The sequence below is a fragment of the Homo sapiens genome, chromosome 3, assembly GCF_000001405.40.
Source record: "Homo sapiens chromosome 3, GRCh38.p14 Primary Assembly".
Classification (NCBI taxonomy): domain Eukaryota; kingdom Metazoa; phylum Chordata; class Mammalia; order Primates; family Hominidae; genus Homo; species Homo sapiens.
This window is the reverse complement of record NC_000003.12, coordinates 67,643,513-67,659,392: the sequence shown is the minus strand read 5'-3', so window position 1 is coordinate 67,659,392 and position 15,880 is coordinate 67,643,513. Positions and strand designations below refer to the sequence as shown.

Below are 15,880 nucleotides of genomic sequence, written 5' to 3'. Positions count from 1 at the left end.
CACCAGGAAACATCTTCAGAGTTCACCACTATGGTTTGCTTTGTTTGCTTTTTTAGTTCTCAAACTAAAGAACACTTTGGAAAGATTATTTAAAATGCAGGTCCCAGTCTCCATCCTAAGTGATTCTGATTTCATGAGTATGAGGTGGAGACCAGGAATCTGAATATTTGAAACTCTAAAACAAAATGTAATGGTTCCTTGACCACTACTCTCTATCCTCTTCTTGGAGGCAACCACTTTAGACTCTTAATACTTTTGTCTGGCATTTGTACATCTCTGTAATTCTCCAGTGCTATCAAGATAAATTACAAAGTGTCAGGGGTCTCCTAACCTACATCTCAGATTGGCCCTAGTGTTTCACATTTGATATCAAGCAAATATTTGTTATGGACCCACTAGAGGAAGAAAAAGAACATCTATGAAGTCTTTACTATGTGCAAGGTCTTTACATGCAACATCTGATCATTGACTACTTACTACTACCCTATGAACCAGGTATTTTCCTAGTCACAGGTGTTCAAGGGGGTGGAGGTCAGATTTGAATCCAATCCAGTTTGGCTGAAAACTTAATGCTTGTTCCAGGAAAGCACAGTGCAGAACTCTGGTAGAATCTAGATTCCCTGTTCTCAAAGAGATTCCTATTTGGGGGAGGTTGGAGGGTGGAAGCGGGGAGTATGAAATAGGGAGAAATCTTACGAGGAACTCTATAATGCAATTCATTCCACATATGTTTATTGATTACTTTTTCTAATCAAAGTCCAGTGCTAGACACTGGAGGTGCTACATAAATGGTTCTCTTTCTTCCTTCTGTCCCTTCTCCCCTACCACCTTCCTGCAGAGAAGGCAGAATGAGATAATACGAGTAAAGACACTGAGGAATTGCTGATGAAAGATTTGGACCCCAGAACCAAGGATGAGACAGTCTTCCAATTCAGACAGGAAAACTCTTAGGAGGCTGCTAACCCTGGAAAGACCCCAAGTTACGCACCAGTAGATAGTAAACAAATCAAAGAATACCAAATGTACTTGGATGACAATCAGAAAGCCTCTCCCGACTCCACTTTCAAAAATCCCCCCATAATAGAATAATCGCATCTTAAAAGAACACTCATCAATCAAAGACAGTCTTAAGAGTCTCTCCTTTATCTCTATAAAACTAACACTTCTTTCAAACGACTTCTAGTCTCATTTGGAAGGAAAGTGATAGTAGCCAACTCCCTTAGCATAGTAACGTCTGAATAAACAGCCTTTGATTAATTCTATAGGTGGTCTTCCTCCTTTTGGCAAAATGTTCACAAGCTCTCACCAAGTTTAAACGTTCACTCTCAAACATTAGCAAGTCTTTGCTCTATCCCGGCGGACCCAGTAGGGGTAATGATGAACAATATGGAAACTCAAATCCAGTTTTGTCAAGAGGAGGGTGCTAAGAGTGATTGGAGTCCAGCTTTGGGAAATTTGATCCCAAGCTGTGTCACCCTTGGCAAGTTACTTGACCTTAGAGTCATGTAAATGTCATGTGGAACTCTGTGGCCAAGTTTCTCTCTGGCAAAATGGGAATAATAGTAGGACCCCATTTGCAGGGCTCCTGTGAAGATTAAATGACTGAAAACAGAGGCAGCAGAGTGTATGTATCAGGAAAGAGCATCGGTTTGCCATTTAATAAAAAAGAATCCATGAGTCCACAGTGATACAAGTGAATAAAACAATTCACCGACGAATAGTGTTACAGTGAACTAAATATGGCCTAAGGAGGACTCGGTACTTCTATATTTGAGTCCTTGTGGACGAACTGCAACCTAGCTTAATAGGTAGACAAGATTGAAAACCTAACTTAGAAGTATGGACCTAAAACAACAGCTAAGTCTTGGCAATCCCAGTGGCCATATTTTAACCATTTATACATTGCTGAGTGTTCAAACTGTGTAAGGCAAATGCCAAGCTGTAACCAATCCAGCTGTTCTGTACCTCACTTCTGATTTCTGTAAGTCATTTCCCTTTTTTCCTCTATAAATCTTCTTCCACCACGTGGCTGCGCTGGAGTCTCTGTGAATCCACTGTGATTCTGGGAGCTGCCCGATTGGCGAACCGTTCATTGCTCAATTAAACTCCTTTACATTTAATTTAGCTGAAGTTTTTCTTTCATCAATGGAGATGATGGAAAGAGTGCAGTTTTTCTGAGTAGAATACAGACTAATAAATGTAGGATGGAGTTAGACCTTGCCACTTTGCCACCATCGTGACAATAATTGATTTAAACAATCATCATCATCCTTATCATCAAAAGATGCTACATCTAGTGGGTAAAACTATGTCTCGAAATGGGCTAGAAATTATATTAAAATAAAAATCCTCAGCTCCCCCACTTTCCAAAGAGAGAGATTAGGAAAGAAGCTAGTAGCAACAGCTGTCTACTTATGTCACATTGTACCTTTTTTCATGATCATATGCTCAAGAATGAGTAAGGTTAAAAAAAAAAATCTAAAATAGTGCTTAATTTGGGGGTGGGTGGAAGGGATGTGAATCTCATCTCTTATCAGACCTGCCACCTCTGGCAAGTTACTTAACCTCTGTGCACCTCAGTTTTCTCTTCTGCAAAATGGGGATTGTACACTTCTACTCATTTAAAACTTTGCTATGAAGACTAAACAAGTTTATATTTGTCTAATGCTTGGCACACATTCAGTAACTTTGCTGTTGTTTTTATTATATGCACATTGCTTAGACTCGCGTAAACTCTGTGAAAGGGAAATAATCTTGGGACTCCCAAATCACTAAGGTAAAGGGAAAAGTTAAGGTGGGAACTGCTTAGGGCAAACCTGCCTCCCATTCTATTCAAAGTCATCCCTCTGCTCACAGAGATAGACGCACAGCTGATTGCTTCCTTTGGAAAGGCCAATCAGAAACCCAAAAGAATGCAACCCTTTGTGTCTTATCTACCCATAACCTAGAAGCCCCTCCTTGCTTCCAGTTGTCTCGCTTTTCTGGACCAAACCAATGTACATTTTACATATATTGATGTCTCATATCTCCCTAAAATGTATAAAACCAAGCTGTGTCCTCCACCACACCTTGGGCACATGTCAGGACCTCCTGAGGCTGTGTCACAGGCACGTGTCCTTAACTGTGGCCAAATAAACTTCTTAAATTGATTGAGACCTGTGTCAGGTATTTGGGGTTCACAGCTCCAAATGAATGTTGCTTTTATCACTCTGATTACTGGGCTTAAAATCCTCCAATAGCTTTGTGTCCGGAATTGGTTCCTTCCCGTGGGTTCTTAATCGTCTCGCTGACTTCCAGAATGAAACTGCAGACCCTCGCGGTAAAGATGGCGTGACCAGAATTTGTTCCTGCAGATGTTCAAATGTATCTGGGGTTTCTTCCTTCCGGTGGGTTCGTGGTCTCGCTGACTTCAGGAGTGAAGCCGCAGACTTCACAGTGAGTGTTACAGCTCTTAAAGGTGGCCCGTCCGGAGTTGTTTGTTCCTGCCTGTGGGTTCGTGGTCTCGCTGACTTCACGAATGAAGCTGCAGACCTTTGCAGTGAGTGTTACAGCCCTCGAAGGTGGGGCATACGGAGTTGTTCATTCCTCCCAGTGGGTTCGCAGTCTCCCTGACCTCAGGAGTGAAACTGCAAACCTTTGTGGTGAGTGTTATAGCTCATAAGGATAGTGCGGACCCAAACAGTGAACAGCAGCAAGAGCTACTGCAAAAAGCAAAAGCACAAAGCAACCACAACCTGGAAGGAGACCCCAACTAGGGGCCACTACTGGCGCCGGTGTCCAGCTTTTATTCCCTTATTTGGCCCCACCCTCATCCTGCTGATTGGTCCATTTTACAGAGTGCCAATTGGTCCATTTTACAGAGTGCTGATTGGTCCCTTTTTAAAGAGTGCTGATTGGTGCATTTACAAACGTTTAGCTAGACACAGAGCGCTGATTGGTGCGTTTTTACAGAGTGCCGATTGGTGTGTTTACAAACCTTTAGCCAGACACAGAGCACTGATTGGTGCATTTACAATCCTTTAGCTAACAGAAAAGTTCTCCAAGTCCCCACCTGATTAGCTAGACACAGAGGGCTGGCTGGTGTATTTACAAACCTTTAGCTAGACACAGAGCGCTGATTGGTGCATTTACAATCATTTAGCTAGACAGAGAAGTTCTCCAAGTCCCCAACCGACCCACCCGGCTTCATCTCTCAGCTTTACATTGATTTTAGGTTAAGGATAGAACAAAACAAAACACCCACAACTCCTTAAGGGATGGAGAGCCTCCAATGGCCTCTCCTTGACTCACCTGAAGCCCTGGGCTGCAGGAACCTCACCTGTCTCTATTCGTTAAAGTCTCAGCTCAAACACCACTGTCCCAGATAGGCCTCGTGACCGCAGGACTAGACCACGGTTCTCTGCGGAGGGCGTCAGCTCCGTGAGCCACCCTTCCAGCACCCACTGCCATGGCGAATATTTGCTTGTTTGGCCATCCAGGGACTGTTTGAGCCCCAAGACCGCAGGGCTCGGGGTCTGTCTTTGCTCAGGACGATAACCTGGGGACTGGACAGTAGGCCCTCAGGCCTTGGGACCGCTCAAAGTGAACCGGGGCCGGGTGGGGGACCCAGGGCTCTGCAGCCTTAAGAACGCCTGTGCCCCCGGGACGCAGGGGTCAGGCCCGGCCCGGCCCAGACCGCCTCTGCCTCCTCCTCCTTTTCCTCCCCGCGCCCGCTTCTCCTCTGACCCCTCCTCCCGCTGCTCCTCCTCCGCCTCCTTCCCCTGCCCGCGCCCGCCCTACTGCCCCGTGCCGAGTTTCCTGTTTAAGATGGCGTCCCCCGTAGCAGCGCAGGCCGGGAAGCTTCTGCGAGCCCTAGCGCTGCGGCCCCGCTTCCTGGCGGCCGGGTCCCAGGTGAGCGTGGGGGCAGGAGCTGCGGGCGCCAGCAGCGGCGCCGGCCTGCCCGGGCTTCCCTCGCCCCCTGCTACTCTTGGTCTCCGCCTGACCCCCTGCGCGGCCCCTCGGGCGCCCCACTTCGGGAGGTGACGCGGCGCCGGGTCCAGGCGCAGCAGGGAACCCCGCTCCAGTGTGGGGCAGGGGCGGCGCGGCGGCAGCCCCGGGTGCCTCGGGGTATGAGCGACCCAACGCACTAGAGTCTCCGCTGTCTGCCCGCGCAGACTCATGGCGAAGGCGCTGAAGCAGGCGCTGGACGCAAGTTTAAGAAAAGTTTCTTGGACCGGGTTTTGGAGCCCTGAGGTTTTATTGTCAGCTCTACTAATTCTGCTTTTCAAACTTCTGGCACTAACCCTGAGCACGTTTAGACCACGTGATAAACATGCCTGGAAACCCGTTTCAGCCCAACTAGGAACTCACCCCCTAGGGTGAACTTCCTGCAGGCTACCTGCTTTTGCAGACTTTTAATGTGCCTGAGTTGGTCAAATCCGTGGGTCAAGGAGAAAAATGGGAAACGATCTTTCTCCTCTTTCCAATGAAAAATCAGGGCTGTCACTAAAACGCATTAGACCATTGACCCTGTCCATGTCCTCCTTGTTGATGGAGAATGAAATCAAAGAGGGTCAGTGGTGGGCTGGATAGCGATTGGAACTTGGCCTCTAGCAGATTTTTACCTTCTGCAGATGGCAAGCGTTAAAATAGTCAGAAGGACTTCAGGAAAGTTTTGAGTTGGTGATGACTCTTGTAGAAATCACTCAACCACTGAACTGGTTAGTCTCCGTAGACTATCTCTCTTCCCTTTTAAAGAAAGCACAGTCTGGGATTCAGCCACAGCAGAGTTAATGACCTTGCCTATTTCCCCATTTTTAATTGATGAGAGGCAAATTATCACTCATACAATTTTAACCAGGATGTGCATAGTATAGTTTTTTAGAAAATTTAAAAAATAGTGATTAATGATTTTTTGAGTTCCTCTAAACTTTGGTTATGACATCTGTGAGCTATTTTTACCCCTCTCCTTTCATTTCCTGCCTCCCCATTTCTCTGTTATTGTTAATGTAAATTTAAAAGGTGCTAATACTTACTACTGTAATATTCTTAATAGGTGCTTGACAGTATAGTGAGGTAGCAAAAGGAATGGCAGTTTTGTCTAATTAAAACTCACTAATAACTGTTGTAATAGAGTAAGGAGAATAGCTCTAGGAGATGAAGTCCTATTCATTATTTAAGTGTTAGAAAAAACAAGAACTAGGGTGCTTACCATGAGTGTAGACTTGAATTGATGAGAAACATGGGGCCCAGGGCAGTGAAAACTCATGAATTGTACAGAGAAACTGAAAATGCAGAGTGTTTAGCTGAAATATGTGAAGCCTACTTCCCTAACCAAGAAATAAGAGGCTGAACGCAACACAGGAGAAAATCTGGTTGGGGAGAGATACTCTTGGTTTGTCAAGAAAACTGGGTAAAAAGATCTGTTAGCACGCCCCATCTGGTTACTGTGATTTACATATTTGTGGATGATGTGTTTTTCTGTAAATTCTTAGAAGGTAAAAGTAGGTTTTTTTAAAGATAGAAAGGTACACAGTGTCCAAGAACTGGAAATGGACATTAGCAATCATTTAGTCCAGCCAGCTCATTTCATGGGTAGAGAAATTGAGGCCTAAAGAAGTTCAATGACATATTCAACGATACAGTGAGAGTTTGTGGCATTCCAGAGTAAAGGCTTACCTTTACGTTTCCGTTACACCATGCTGTTTCCTGGTGAGTATATACTTCCTCATGAAAATATATTATATCAACATGCAAATTAATCTGCATGCCAGTAGTAACTATATAACATCCAAGTCATTAGCACCACTGACACATTTTTATTTTTTTCTTTATGACCATCTTAGAATTGTCCATAAAAATGGTGAGTATTGCTATTTTCAAATTCTTGGGTGCTTCCTATGATCTGTTTCATGTACACTGATTTGATATTACGTTTCCATAGTCCCTTGCCCGTGGCAGACATTGCAGTTAAACATGGCCCACTTCTCTCATCATACTTAAGAATCCTCACCAAGTGTCTCAGAAATCTGTTGCCACTCTTGGCCCAGACCTATTTTATACCACCAGGCCTTGTGAAAAACTGTTGTCTGTACAGAAATAAAAGACCCAGTTTCTGCTTAGAGAAATAACTTTAACTGGTCTCTCAAAGATACCCATAGAATGACATTTTGTCTACCTCCTCCCTATGGTTAAATTTAACATTTGACACATATTCCTGATGCTTAGTGTCATTGAAGTTTTTTTTTTTTTTTCACCTTTGCTGTTAGCTTTACTGTTTTGACTTTTGATTGATAGTACGTCCTTAAAGGGTCCACTTTAGTCATTTCTTATTTTTCATATAGTTTTTATTCAGCCCATACCATTTGGCAGGACTGTTGTAGGCCCTGGGGTTTGGGGATGGTGAATGAGGCAGGCAGAGTCTTTGGCCACGTGATACTTTATTTTAATGGAGGTGGGAGAGAGTGAGCCAGTACACATATAACCAATAATGAAAATGATTTCAGCCAATGACAGATTCTGTGAAGAAAATCAGTCAGGGTCATGGGATGGAGAATGGATTGCTTCACAGCAGGGTAGTTTAGACTGGATGATCAGAGGAGACCTATTTGATATGGTGTGTTTTTGATTGGCATAATTTTTTAAACTGAAATATAAGACATACTGAAAAATGAACAATTACAAATGAACAACTTGATGAATTTTCATAAACTGAATGCAAACCCAGCTAACTAGGTACAGATGAAGAAAACGATCATTTAACAACAACCCAGAGGCCCCCTGGTGCTCCTGCCTGTCACTACCTCCACCCTACAAAGGGTCACCAGTCCCCTGACTTATAACGCTGGTTTTGTTCAGTTTTGTACTTTAGGTGAAATTATATGTAGGCATACACATACTTCACATTGCTCAGCATTATATGTAAGTGATCCTGGAGATGGCCTTTTTGACATATGAGCTGAGACCTGAGCGATGAAAGGTAGCCAGCTAGGTGAGACTAAGGGGAAGAGTGTGTTAGGCAGAGCAGACAGCAAGTGCAAAGACTGAGATGAGAATGAGCTGGGCATGTCTAGGTAATTAGAGGGGGAAAGTGGTAGTAGACTAGGTCTGAGAGGAAGACAAGGGCCAAATCATGTGGAGACCTGCAGGGTCTGCTAAGGAGGTTTCAGGGGTTTAAACCATACAGAGGCTGAATCCCAGTCCTGGCAGCCAAAGCACAGGCATGTAATTAATGTACTGTACACGCCCCCTGTTATAAATCTAAGTTAGGCTGGCTTTGAAACTTTTAGCAGAGTGGTGTTCAGTGAATTTAGCAGTAAGGGTCTAACCATGGTTAGAAGTCTTTCCAAAGACCTAAATCCTGGTAGACAGGGGCCATGTTGCTGTGTCCATATAGCCAAGTGAAAAGTGTGTGCAGTACTTGGTGGTGTAATATAGCCAGGCACTGCCATGGTGGGCAAGATATGAGTACATACTGCCAGTCAAGTCTTAGGGGAAATGTTGGCTGAGGGCACTGAGTTTGAAATGGTTCTTAAGTCTAAGCACAGTTTTGTTGTCTCTTAGGGTATTTCCCCTCTCTTTGGCTAGTGGAAGTTCATGGAGCTCTCTTGTAGGAGAAGCACTGCCTTTCAGGTCTCCAATTTTATTTTACTTTTTTTTTGAAAGAGAGTCTCACTCTCACCCAGGCTGGAGTGCGGTGGCCTGATCTTGGCTCACTACAACCTCCTCCTCCTGGGTACAAGCGATTCTCCTGCCTCGGCTTCCTGAGTAGCTGGTACCACAGATGCACGCCACCATGCCTGGCTGATTTTTGTATTTTTAGTAGAGATGGGGTTTCGCCATGTTGGTCAGGTTTGTCTCAAACTCCTGACCTCAAGTGATCTGCCCCCTTCAGCCTCCCAAAGTGTTGGGATTACAGATGTGGGCCACTGTGCCTGGCCAGGCCTCCTATTTTAGAATCCTTGTTGTATGTTTTCTGTGCAGCCCAGAGCTTCTGTCCAGGGACTTACAGAGGAATGTATGTTGTCAAAGAAACTGCTTAAACCCATGCCCCTGCTGTTGTATACTCAGAAAGAATGGCTCCAGCCTAATTTTCTGCCTTTACGGAAGTGGGAGGAGAAAGATGAATGCATGACTTTTGTAAGTGAAGGACTAAAGGTTATGGGCAAGTTCTTATCAGCTAAATGAGGCTGTGGCGGCTGCATTGGAAGTTGTGACTTACCTGTATCTCCCTCTTGCCTAGGAGAATAAATATTTGACTTTTTTCTTTTTTTAAAATGAAGTACAGCTGCAATTTCTGCTTTTAGAAAAGGGAATCCATCTCAAATAATTTAGATGCTAAACTATTGACCTTCCTTGTGGGGAAGACCGTTAAGTGATAGCTTTGTCCTAAATTGGTTTTGTTTGCTGTAAATAAGGCATTTCTTTTATGGGTGAGTGATTGAGTGCACAGACCCACAGTAGTGAGAACATTCCTGCCCTCGTACCCTGGTCTAGTTCTGCAGGCGCAAAGCCCAGAAAGTCACTGAAATATGGCATATTTGGGGGAGGAAAAGAAATTACATAAGTAACCTCAGATCATTTGTCCTTCAGCTGTCTTTACCACTCAATCTGCAATTGTCACTTGATGCATCACTTTCTGTTACTTGATGGAAAAGTTTTACTGAAGAACTTGAGAGATTTGGAAATATTTGAACAAATGATAATATCAGTACACTAATGAAATTTGGAGATTAATCTTGAGAGTTTGTGAGGAAGGTGGAGGTGATGAAGAAGGCAGTCCAGGTGAATTCATGCAGAGGCAGAGGTGAGAGAACAGGGGGAGAGTAGTTGTAGTGAGCAGTTTAGTATGGAGAAGGGAGAGGTGGATAGCAGAAGTTGAGGGACAATGGCACTTTTGGGTATACAAAGAAGTCTAAATGGGGCTTCAGAAAGCCCAGAATTCAGCAGGGAATAAAATTAACCCCCACAACTGAAAAATCAAACAAATATCATTTATGTAGCAAATATTTTCTGAATGCTTATTACAGCTCATTCTTTATAGAATGTTGGGCAGATAAATATGACTGAGTGAATGCAGACAGGAATAAGAAACACAGCTCCTACCTTCAGAGGGCACAGAGGTACAACTGGCCTATAAACCTGTAGTTATACTAAAACATAGTGGGTACTGCAATTGAGCTGTGTTCTTAGCCTTCTAAGATACTGTTGGCCTCTGTCAACCACTTACCCTGTGTCTGCAGAACTATTCCCTCTGATCATTCATTGCCTGATCTCTGTCTTCATCAGCTTTCTGATTCAACGTTGATTCTTCAGATAGGCTTTTTCCTAATTACCTTACCCAGCCCTGCCTTTCCAGGGATTATTCTCTGTACCCTTATCTGCTTTGTTCTTTATAACACTTGACTGTACCTGGTAGTGTTATTTGTTCATTGGCCGTCTTCCCCGCTCTCCTACAAGTTTAAGAATGTAAGCTCCACAAAGGCAAAGTGATACAGCTTAATGTAACAGCGTGAGTGATTCCCCAGCTGGCCGGAGTTGGTATTCAGTAAGCATTTGTGGTCTCAGTCAATGAGTAGGGTGCACAGAGAAGGGAGAGGGAGGTAAGGAACAGGAGAAGTTGAGGGATGATGTGGCTCATTTCAGCAAATGAGGAAGAAGGAAGGGGCTATAGAAATCCTAGTTGTGAAAGGGTCCTCATAATCATAGAACTGTTCCTTGGGCATGTAGTATATAACAAGGCTGCGTGAAGTAATCTCCACACATTATTTCTTTAACCCTTACAACATCACTGCAGGGGAGATTTCACAGTCTCCATGTTTTATAGAAGCAGTCAGAGGCATAGAGAGGCCCTATAGTCATTTGCTTAAAATCACAGTGCCAGGGAGTCACCCGCCTCATGCTGATAAAGGACTTATGCTGTTAAATTATTAAGCTCTGTCACTGAAAGATCCTAGTTGGGCTGAACTAGGCAGTTAAACTGATTGCTTACCTTTCCCCATCTTTTTGCCCTTGAGTGACACTCGCCTTTGGTCATTTGGACTTGTGCTGATGAAGGTGTGCTGATCAACTTGGCATGGTTGCCCTTTCTGGACTCTTATCCACCTTCCTCTCTCTCTGGCTTCAGGGTCTTGTCAACAGAGTAGTAGGGAGATTAAAGACACGAAGTCTGGGTTCAAATTCAACGGAGTTCAAATTCTTATGGGATCTCCCATGTTCTTTCTCTGCAACCTGGAGCAAATTATTGAACCTGACTGAGCCTCAATTTACTGTTACTTGAAAAGGGGATCATTTGCACAGATAGTTACAAAGATTAAATAAGATGATATTTAAGACATTTGGCATATGACCCGATGGTGGGCCCAGGATGATTATTTCTCTTGCACTGAATTTGAAGCTAAATTCGCTGGTCTTTTTAAAAGGCTTTATTGAGCTAGAATAATTTTGCTTTCCCAGATTCAGTAAGCATTTATCATGTGCTGCCATCTCAGGATTAGTCACTGGCTTGGTGCTTCCATACATTTTATTTCACTTCATCCTTGCAGTAGCCATGTGAAATAGGAGTTATTGTTCCCAGCTTACTTCTGGGGAATCTGAGGCTCAGAGGGGTGAAGATCTGCCTCCCGGGCTCTGATTATCTTCAGGATTCCACAGTTGGGATGAATGTCTGGTGAGGCCTGAGGTGGCAGTGGGGAGGAGCTCATGGGGAGCTTAATTGTACCATCCTGGTTATTACTCATTTCACAAACATTTACATGTCTCAGTGTTGACTTAGTAGTGACGACTGCTGGACCTCGTGCATCAAAGATTTGAGGTGAGGGAACACTTAAAGAATTGGCAGTAGCCACAGCATGAACCAACGGCCAACTGGACATGACTTTCACTGTGTGCTTAGCACAAACTACTGCCCTCAGCGTTTCAAGAATGCTGGAGAAATTGTGAAATGTCATTGCCTTTGCAGAGTGGGCTTTGGGGGATGGTGTTGGAGGATGGAGTTTCCTGGTATTCTGGGTTCAGACTTTGACCAGTGTACTGAGTATGGTCAGCTTTTACCCTTTCTAGAAATGATTCCAAAAGAATAGGACTTAGGCAGTAGCCATAAATGCATAGATTTCTAACATTTACCTTTGAATTTTATTTTTATTTTAAAATTCGAGGGATTTGACATAATATATGAATTGTTAATGGAGACATGGCAAAGCACAAGGCATGGTTTGTGTAAGTTTGGGTCCTGTGGGTTGGAGTGGGGGGACTAGCATCTTTTTTCTGCTCCCATCCATTTCTCCCTGTGCTTGCTGTATTTCCATTTGTGGGCTGTCTTAGTCCCAGAGTTGTGACTTGAGAGCCCTAAGGAGGTTCAGGAGGGCTGCCTTGTAGAGTTTACGGTGAGAAATGAGGCCAGAGACAAGAGCAAGGACAAGATCGCTGATCCTGGTAGGCCTGGTAATGAAGCTAAGCTTGTTCTTGAGGAGGGCAATAGGGAGCCATTGAAGGGTTTTAGACAGTGAAGTGGCAAGGGCAGTTTAATGCGTAGAGTACTCTTTCTGGATATAGTGTGGAGAGGGTTGGAGAAATGCAAGAATGGAGATCATTTGGGCGACTTTGGCATCGATTCAATGCTGTGAGTCATTATGCCAGGATACTAGACGTACACCGTGAGTGGAATCAGACTGCCCGGGTTTAACTCTTGCCTTCAGCACTCCATAGCTTTGTGATCTTGTGACAATTACTTATATTTCTTTGTAAGATACCTTTTTTTTTTCTTTTTCACATTTCAGTGTCTCTGAAAGCTGAATTTATTTATTTTTATTTATATTTTTTCAGACAGAGTCTCACTCTCTTGCCCAGGCTTGAGTGCAGTGGTGAGATCTTGGCTCACTGCACCCTCCATCTTCCAGGTTCAAGTGATTCTCCTGACTCAGCCTCCCAAGTAGCTGGAATTACAGGTGTACACCACCACACCTAGCTAATTTTTGTATTTTTAGTAGAGATGGAGTTTCACCATGTTGGCCAGGCTTGTCTTCAACTCCTGACCTCAGGTGGTCCACCCACCTGGCCTCACAAAGTGCTGGGATTAAGGCGTGAGCCACCGTGCCCGGCCAAACTTTATTGTTTCGATATTGTCTGGTTTTAAGTAAGGGATCCACCCCCATCTTATTGTCTGTGGCTGAAGTCGGGAGGCCTGTGGAGAGGAACAGCACCATGCTTTCCTCCCTGCCTGAAGCAGGGCTCAGGGCTCTGGGTACAGTGTCTGGGGAGTGGCCTGATCCATTTAGGGCACCATATTCTCCCCTCCCCTCCCCTCTCCTCCCCTCCCCTCCCCTGCCCTCCCCTCCATTCCCCTCCCTTCCCCGTGCCCACAGCATTGATTGGCTTGCCCACAGCATTGAATAGAAGTAGGGATCAGCATTATAGCTTTACCAGAAAATATTAAGGTTTTCTCCTTATCAATGGAGATCTCTTCACATTTTTATAAGGAACTATTTTTTATCCTTTGCTTTTTGTCCCCAGCTTCTGCTTGTACTCTCTTACCTGTTGTTGAGATGCTATGCTATACCATCTGGACTTGAAGGACTTATTTGAGTTAGTAAGTCCTTTCCTACCTTTGAAAGAAAGGGGGAAAACCAGTTCTCATAGGCATTCTCATTCCAGCCTGAGGGCTTACGTGGGCCTTTAATAAGTAATAGAAAGTGGAGAGTTATGAATTATTTTTGATTAAGGGAATAAACTATTAATGATGAGTGTTTCTTTGTTAAGATTCAGGGCTCTTTTAAAGTGATGTATCATTAAAATTGAAAGCCAACAATACAGGGAAAAAAGGAATTTTTCAGCTTTTAACTTTTTTATAATTACCATGGAAAAAAATATACGTGCTATTTGGCACATTAGAAAAACTAAGTAAATTTTGAGATGGTGAAGTTGTAAACAGATTATCCTCATGAATTTTAAAATGATGCAGAAGGACTGAATGGCTGAGTGTTGAATAGGATGGTTGGAAATGGAGGCAGAAGGCTTGTGACTTGTCCTAAGCGAGGGTGGGCCTGAGGACGCTTTTAGGATTGGAGTCCCACGTCCAAAACTCACAGCATAGCATGTTGTGAGTGTCTAATGGATCCTTTCTTTTTTGTTTGATATGAGTATATGATGAGGCTTTTATGACCAGTATAAAATAGCTTTTATGACTATATTTTGTATAAAATATAATTTTAATATGTGGGGAGACTTACAGAGTTAAACTTTATAGGAAGATGAGAGAAAAATACTAAATTTTCTTTATGTTAAAGGGCCCCAAGTGAGAATATTTAGTAGTGGTATTTCATTTTGCTTAATATTGGCAGTATATCAGTAATGTTACGCTTATGGTAAGCCAAGAGTCATAGTGTTCCTTTCTTGAAGATGTGTTGTCATGTGCTACAGGATGAATCTATTTCCTCCTGCATACTTCAGAGTCCTTCTTTTCAGGTCAGTGGAATATTTTTCCTGGAATTTTGATGTTAAGCAACATTGTCATAATTTAGGTAAAATTAATTATTGACACAAAGCAGTGTTTTCTGATTGACTTTTAGGGTGTTGAGGGAGGTGGCAAAAGAATTGCTTTTTTGATTAAAAATTTGGATCATTAAGTTCCTTTTTTGTCTCTGAAACCTTGTTTTTGATTTCCAAAGCTTCTAAAGATACTAAAAAATATGAATGTGTATATTCTTTAATTTAAAATTTTTATTATATATTTATTATTGTAGTAAAATATACATGACATAAAATTGACCATTTTAACCATTTTTGCCATTTTTATCATTTTGCCATTTTAACCATACTCGGACATTGTTATATATTCATATTGTTATGCAGCCATCACCATCATCCATTTCCTGAACTTATTCATCCTCCCCTACTAAAACTCTGTACCTATTCAATGCTAACTCCCCCATCTCCCCTTCCCCTAGTCCCTGCCAACCACTGTTCTACTTTTGATCTCTGTGAATTTGCCTACTCTAGGAACCTTATCTAAAAAGATTCATACTATAGCTATTCTTTTATGACTGGCTTATTTCATTTAGCATAATGTCTTCAAAGTTCATCTGTGTTGCAGCATGTGCAAAAATTTCCTTCCTTATTAGGCTGAATAATATTCCATGATATGTGTATATATCTTTTTTTTAATCCATTAATTTGTCGGTGGACACTTGGGTTGCTTTCCCTTTTTGGCTATGTGAATAATGCTGCTATGAACATGAGTGTTCCGTGGAGGTATACCTTATGTTAACATTCACCTGAGTAGAAATGTTGTATCATATGTAGCTTGGGCTACATTTTCAGTTTCCCATGTCCAACTAAAATGTCTATTAAGAAATATCTTTCCTGATAATGTTTCTGTTGTATATTCATATTCATTGATTCTTTCAGTGGGTCAAATGCAGCACAGGTCCACTATTAGGCCCACTATTAGGCGGTGGCTCACGCCTGTAATCCCAGCACTTTGTGAGGCCCAGGTGGGTGGATCACCTGAGGTCAGGAGTTGAAGACAAGCCTGGCCAACATGGTGAAACTCCATCTCTACTAAAAATACAAAAATTAGCCAGGTATGATGGTGTACACCTGTAATTCCAGCTACTTGGGAGGCTGAGTCAGGAGAATCAGTTGAACCTGGGAGGCGGAGGTTGCAGATGGTGGGTTTGTAGGAAGCTTGGGGATATGAGACAGTTGCTGCCTTTAAGGAACCTACAGTCTCATTTGTTGGAGACTGATGAGAAATGGGCAATTACAGTGAGATGTGTTTGGTGTTGTGAGAGCACCCCAGCCCTCTGGGGATACTGTAAGTCCTCACTAAAGACATTCCAATTTGTTCTCTGCTTCCATACCCATTCCAGCACTGAATGTAGGAAGAGGATAAGAAGTTAATTAT

At 43.1% G+C, this 15,880-nt stretch overlaps 1 protein-coding gene and 1 long non-coding RNA gene across 7 annotated transcripts in view, besides 6 other annotated features; one reads left to right on the top strand and one right to left on the bottom strand.

The window, feature by feature from the left end:
- SUCLG2-DT (SUCLG2 divergent transcript) overlaps positions 1-4,696 on the bottom strand; it is a 293,017-nt gene extending 288,321 nt beyond the window's left edge. For both annotated transcript variants that reach the window (NR_109992.1, NR_109993.1), the window contains exon 1: positions 4,291-4,696. This is a non-coding gene — a long non-coding RNA (SUCLG2 divergent transcript). The remainder of the gene's footprint in view (positions 1-4,290) is intronic.
- Positions 4,475-4,974: an enhancer, noted in NCBI's record as "H3K27ac hESC enhancer chr3:67704843-67705342 (GRCh37/hg19 assembly coordinates)". NCBI's record gives its function as "activates a minimal SCP1, AML or CMV promoter by ChIP-STARR-seq in naive H9 embryonic stem cells {active_cell/tissue: H9 hESC(naive)}" and the evidence as "EXISTENCE:reporter gene assay evidence [ECO:0000049][PMID:30033119]".
- Positions 4,475-5,169: a biological region, named in NCBI's record as "H3K27ac hESC enhancer GRCh37_chr3:67704843-67705342".
- Positions 4,490-5,169: a silencer, noted in NCBI's record as "silent region_14512". NCBI's record gives its function as "represses an Ori minimal core promoter by ATAC-STARR-seq in GM12878 lymphoblastoid cells {active_cell/tissue: GM12878}" and the evidence as "EXISTENCE:reporter gene assay evidence [ECO:0000049][PMID:35858748]".
- Positions 4,781-15,880, top strand: part of SUCLG2 (succinate-CoA ligase GDP-forming subunit beta) — a 294,153-nt gene continuing 283,053 nt past the window's right edge. For all 5 annotated transcript variants that reach the window (XR_007095763.1, XR_001740350.3, NM_001177599.2 and 2 more), the window contains exon 1: positions 4,781-4,890. Coding sequence is in view for 3 of the 5 variants with exons in the window: in NM_001177599.2 (NP_001171070.1) it covers positions 4,807-4,890 (84 nt within the window). In the remaining 2 variants the exon portion in view is untranslated. The remainder of the gene's footprint in view (positions 4,891-15,880) is intronic.
- Positions 8,609-8,658: an enhancer, noted in NCBI's record as "active region_20049". NCBI's record gives its function as "activates an Ori minimal core promoter by ATAC-STARR-seq in GM12878 lymphoblastoid cells {active_cell/tissue: GM12878}" and the evidence as "EXISTENCE:reporter gene assay evidence [ECO:0000049][PMID:35858748]".
- Positions 11,594-11,888: a silencer, noted in NCBI's record as "tiled region #7041; K562 Repressive non-DNase unmatched - State 15:Elon". NCBI's record gives its function as "weakly represses a minimal TATA promoter and a strong SV40 promoter by Sharpr-MPRA in K562 cells {active_cell/tissue: K562}" and the evidence as "EXISTENCE:reporter gene assay evidence [ECO:0000049][PMID:27701403]".
- Positions 11,594-11,888: an enhancer, noted in NCBI's record as "tiled region #7041; HepG2 Activating non-DNase unmatched - State 5:Enh". NCBI's record gives its function as "activates a minimal TATA promoter and a strong SV40 promoter by Sharpr-MPRA in HepG2 cells {active_cell/tissue: HepG2}" and the evidence as "EXISTENCE:reporter gene assay evidence [ECO:0000049][PMID:27701403]".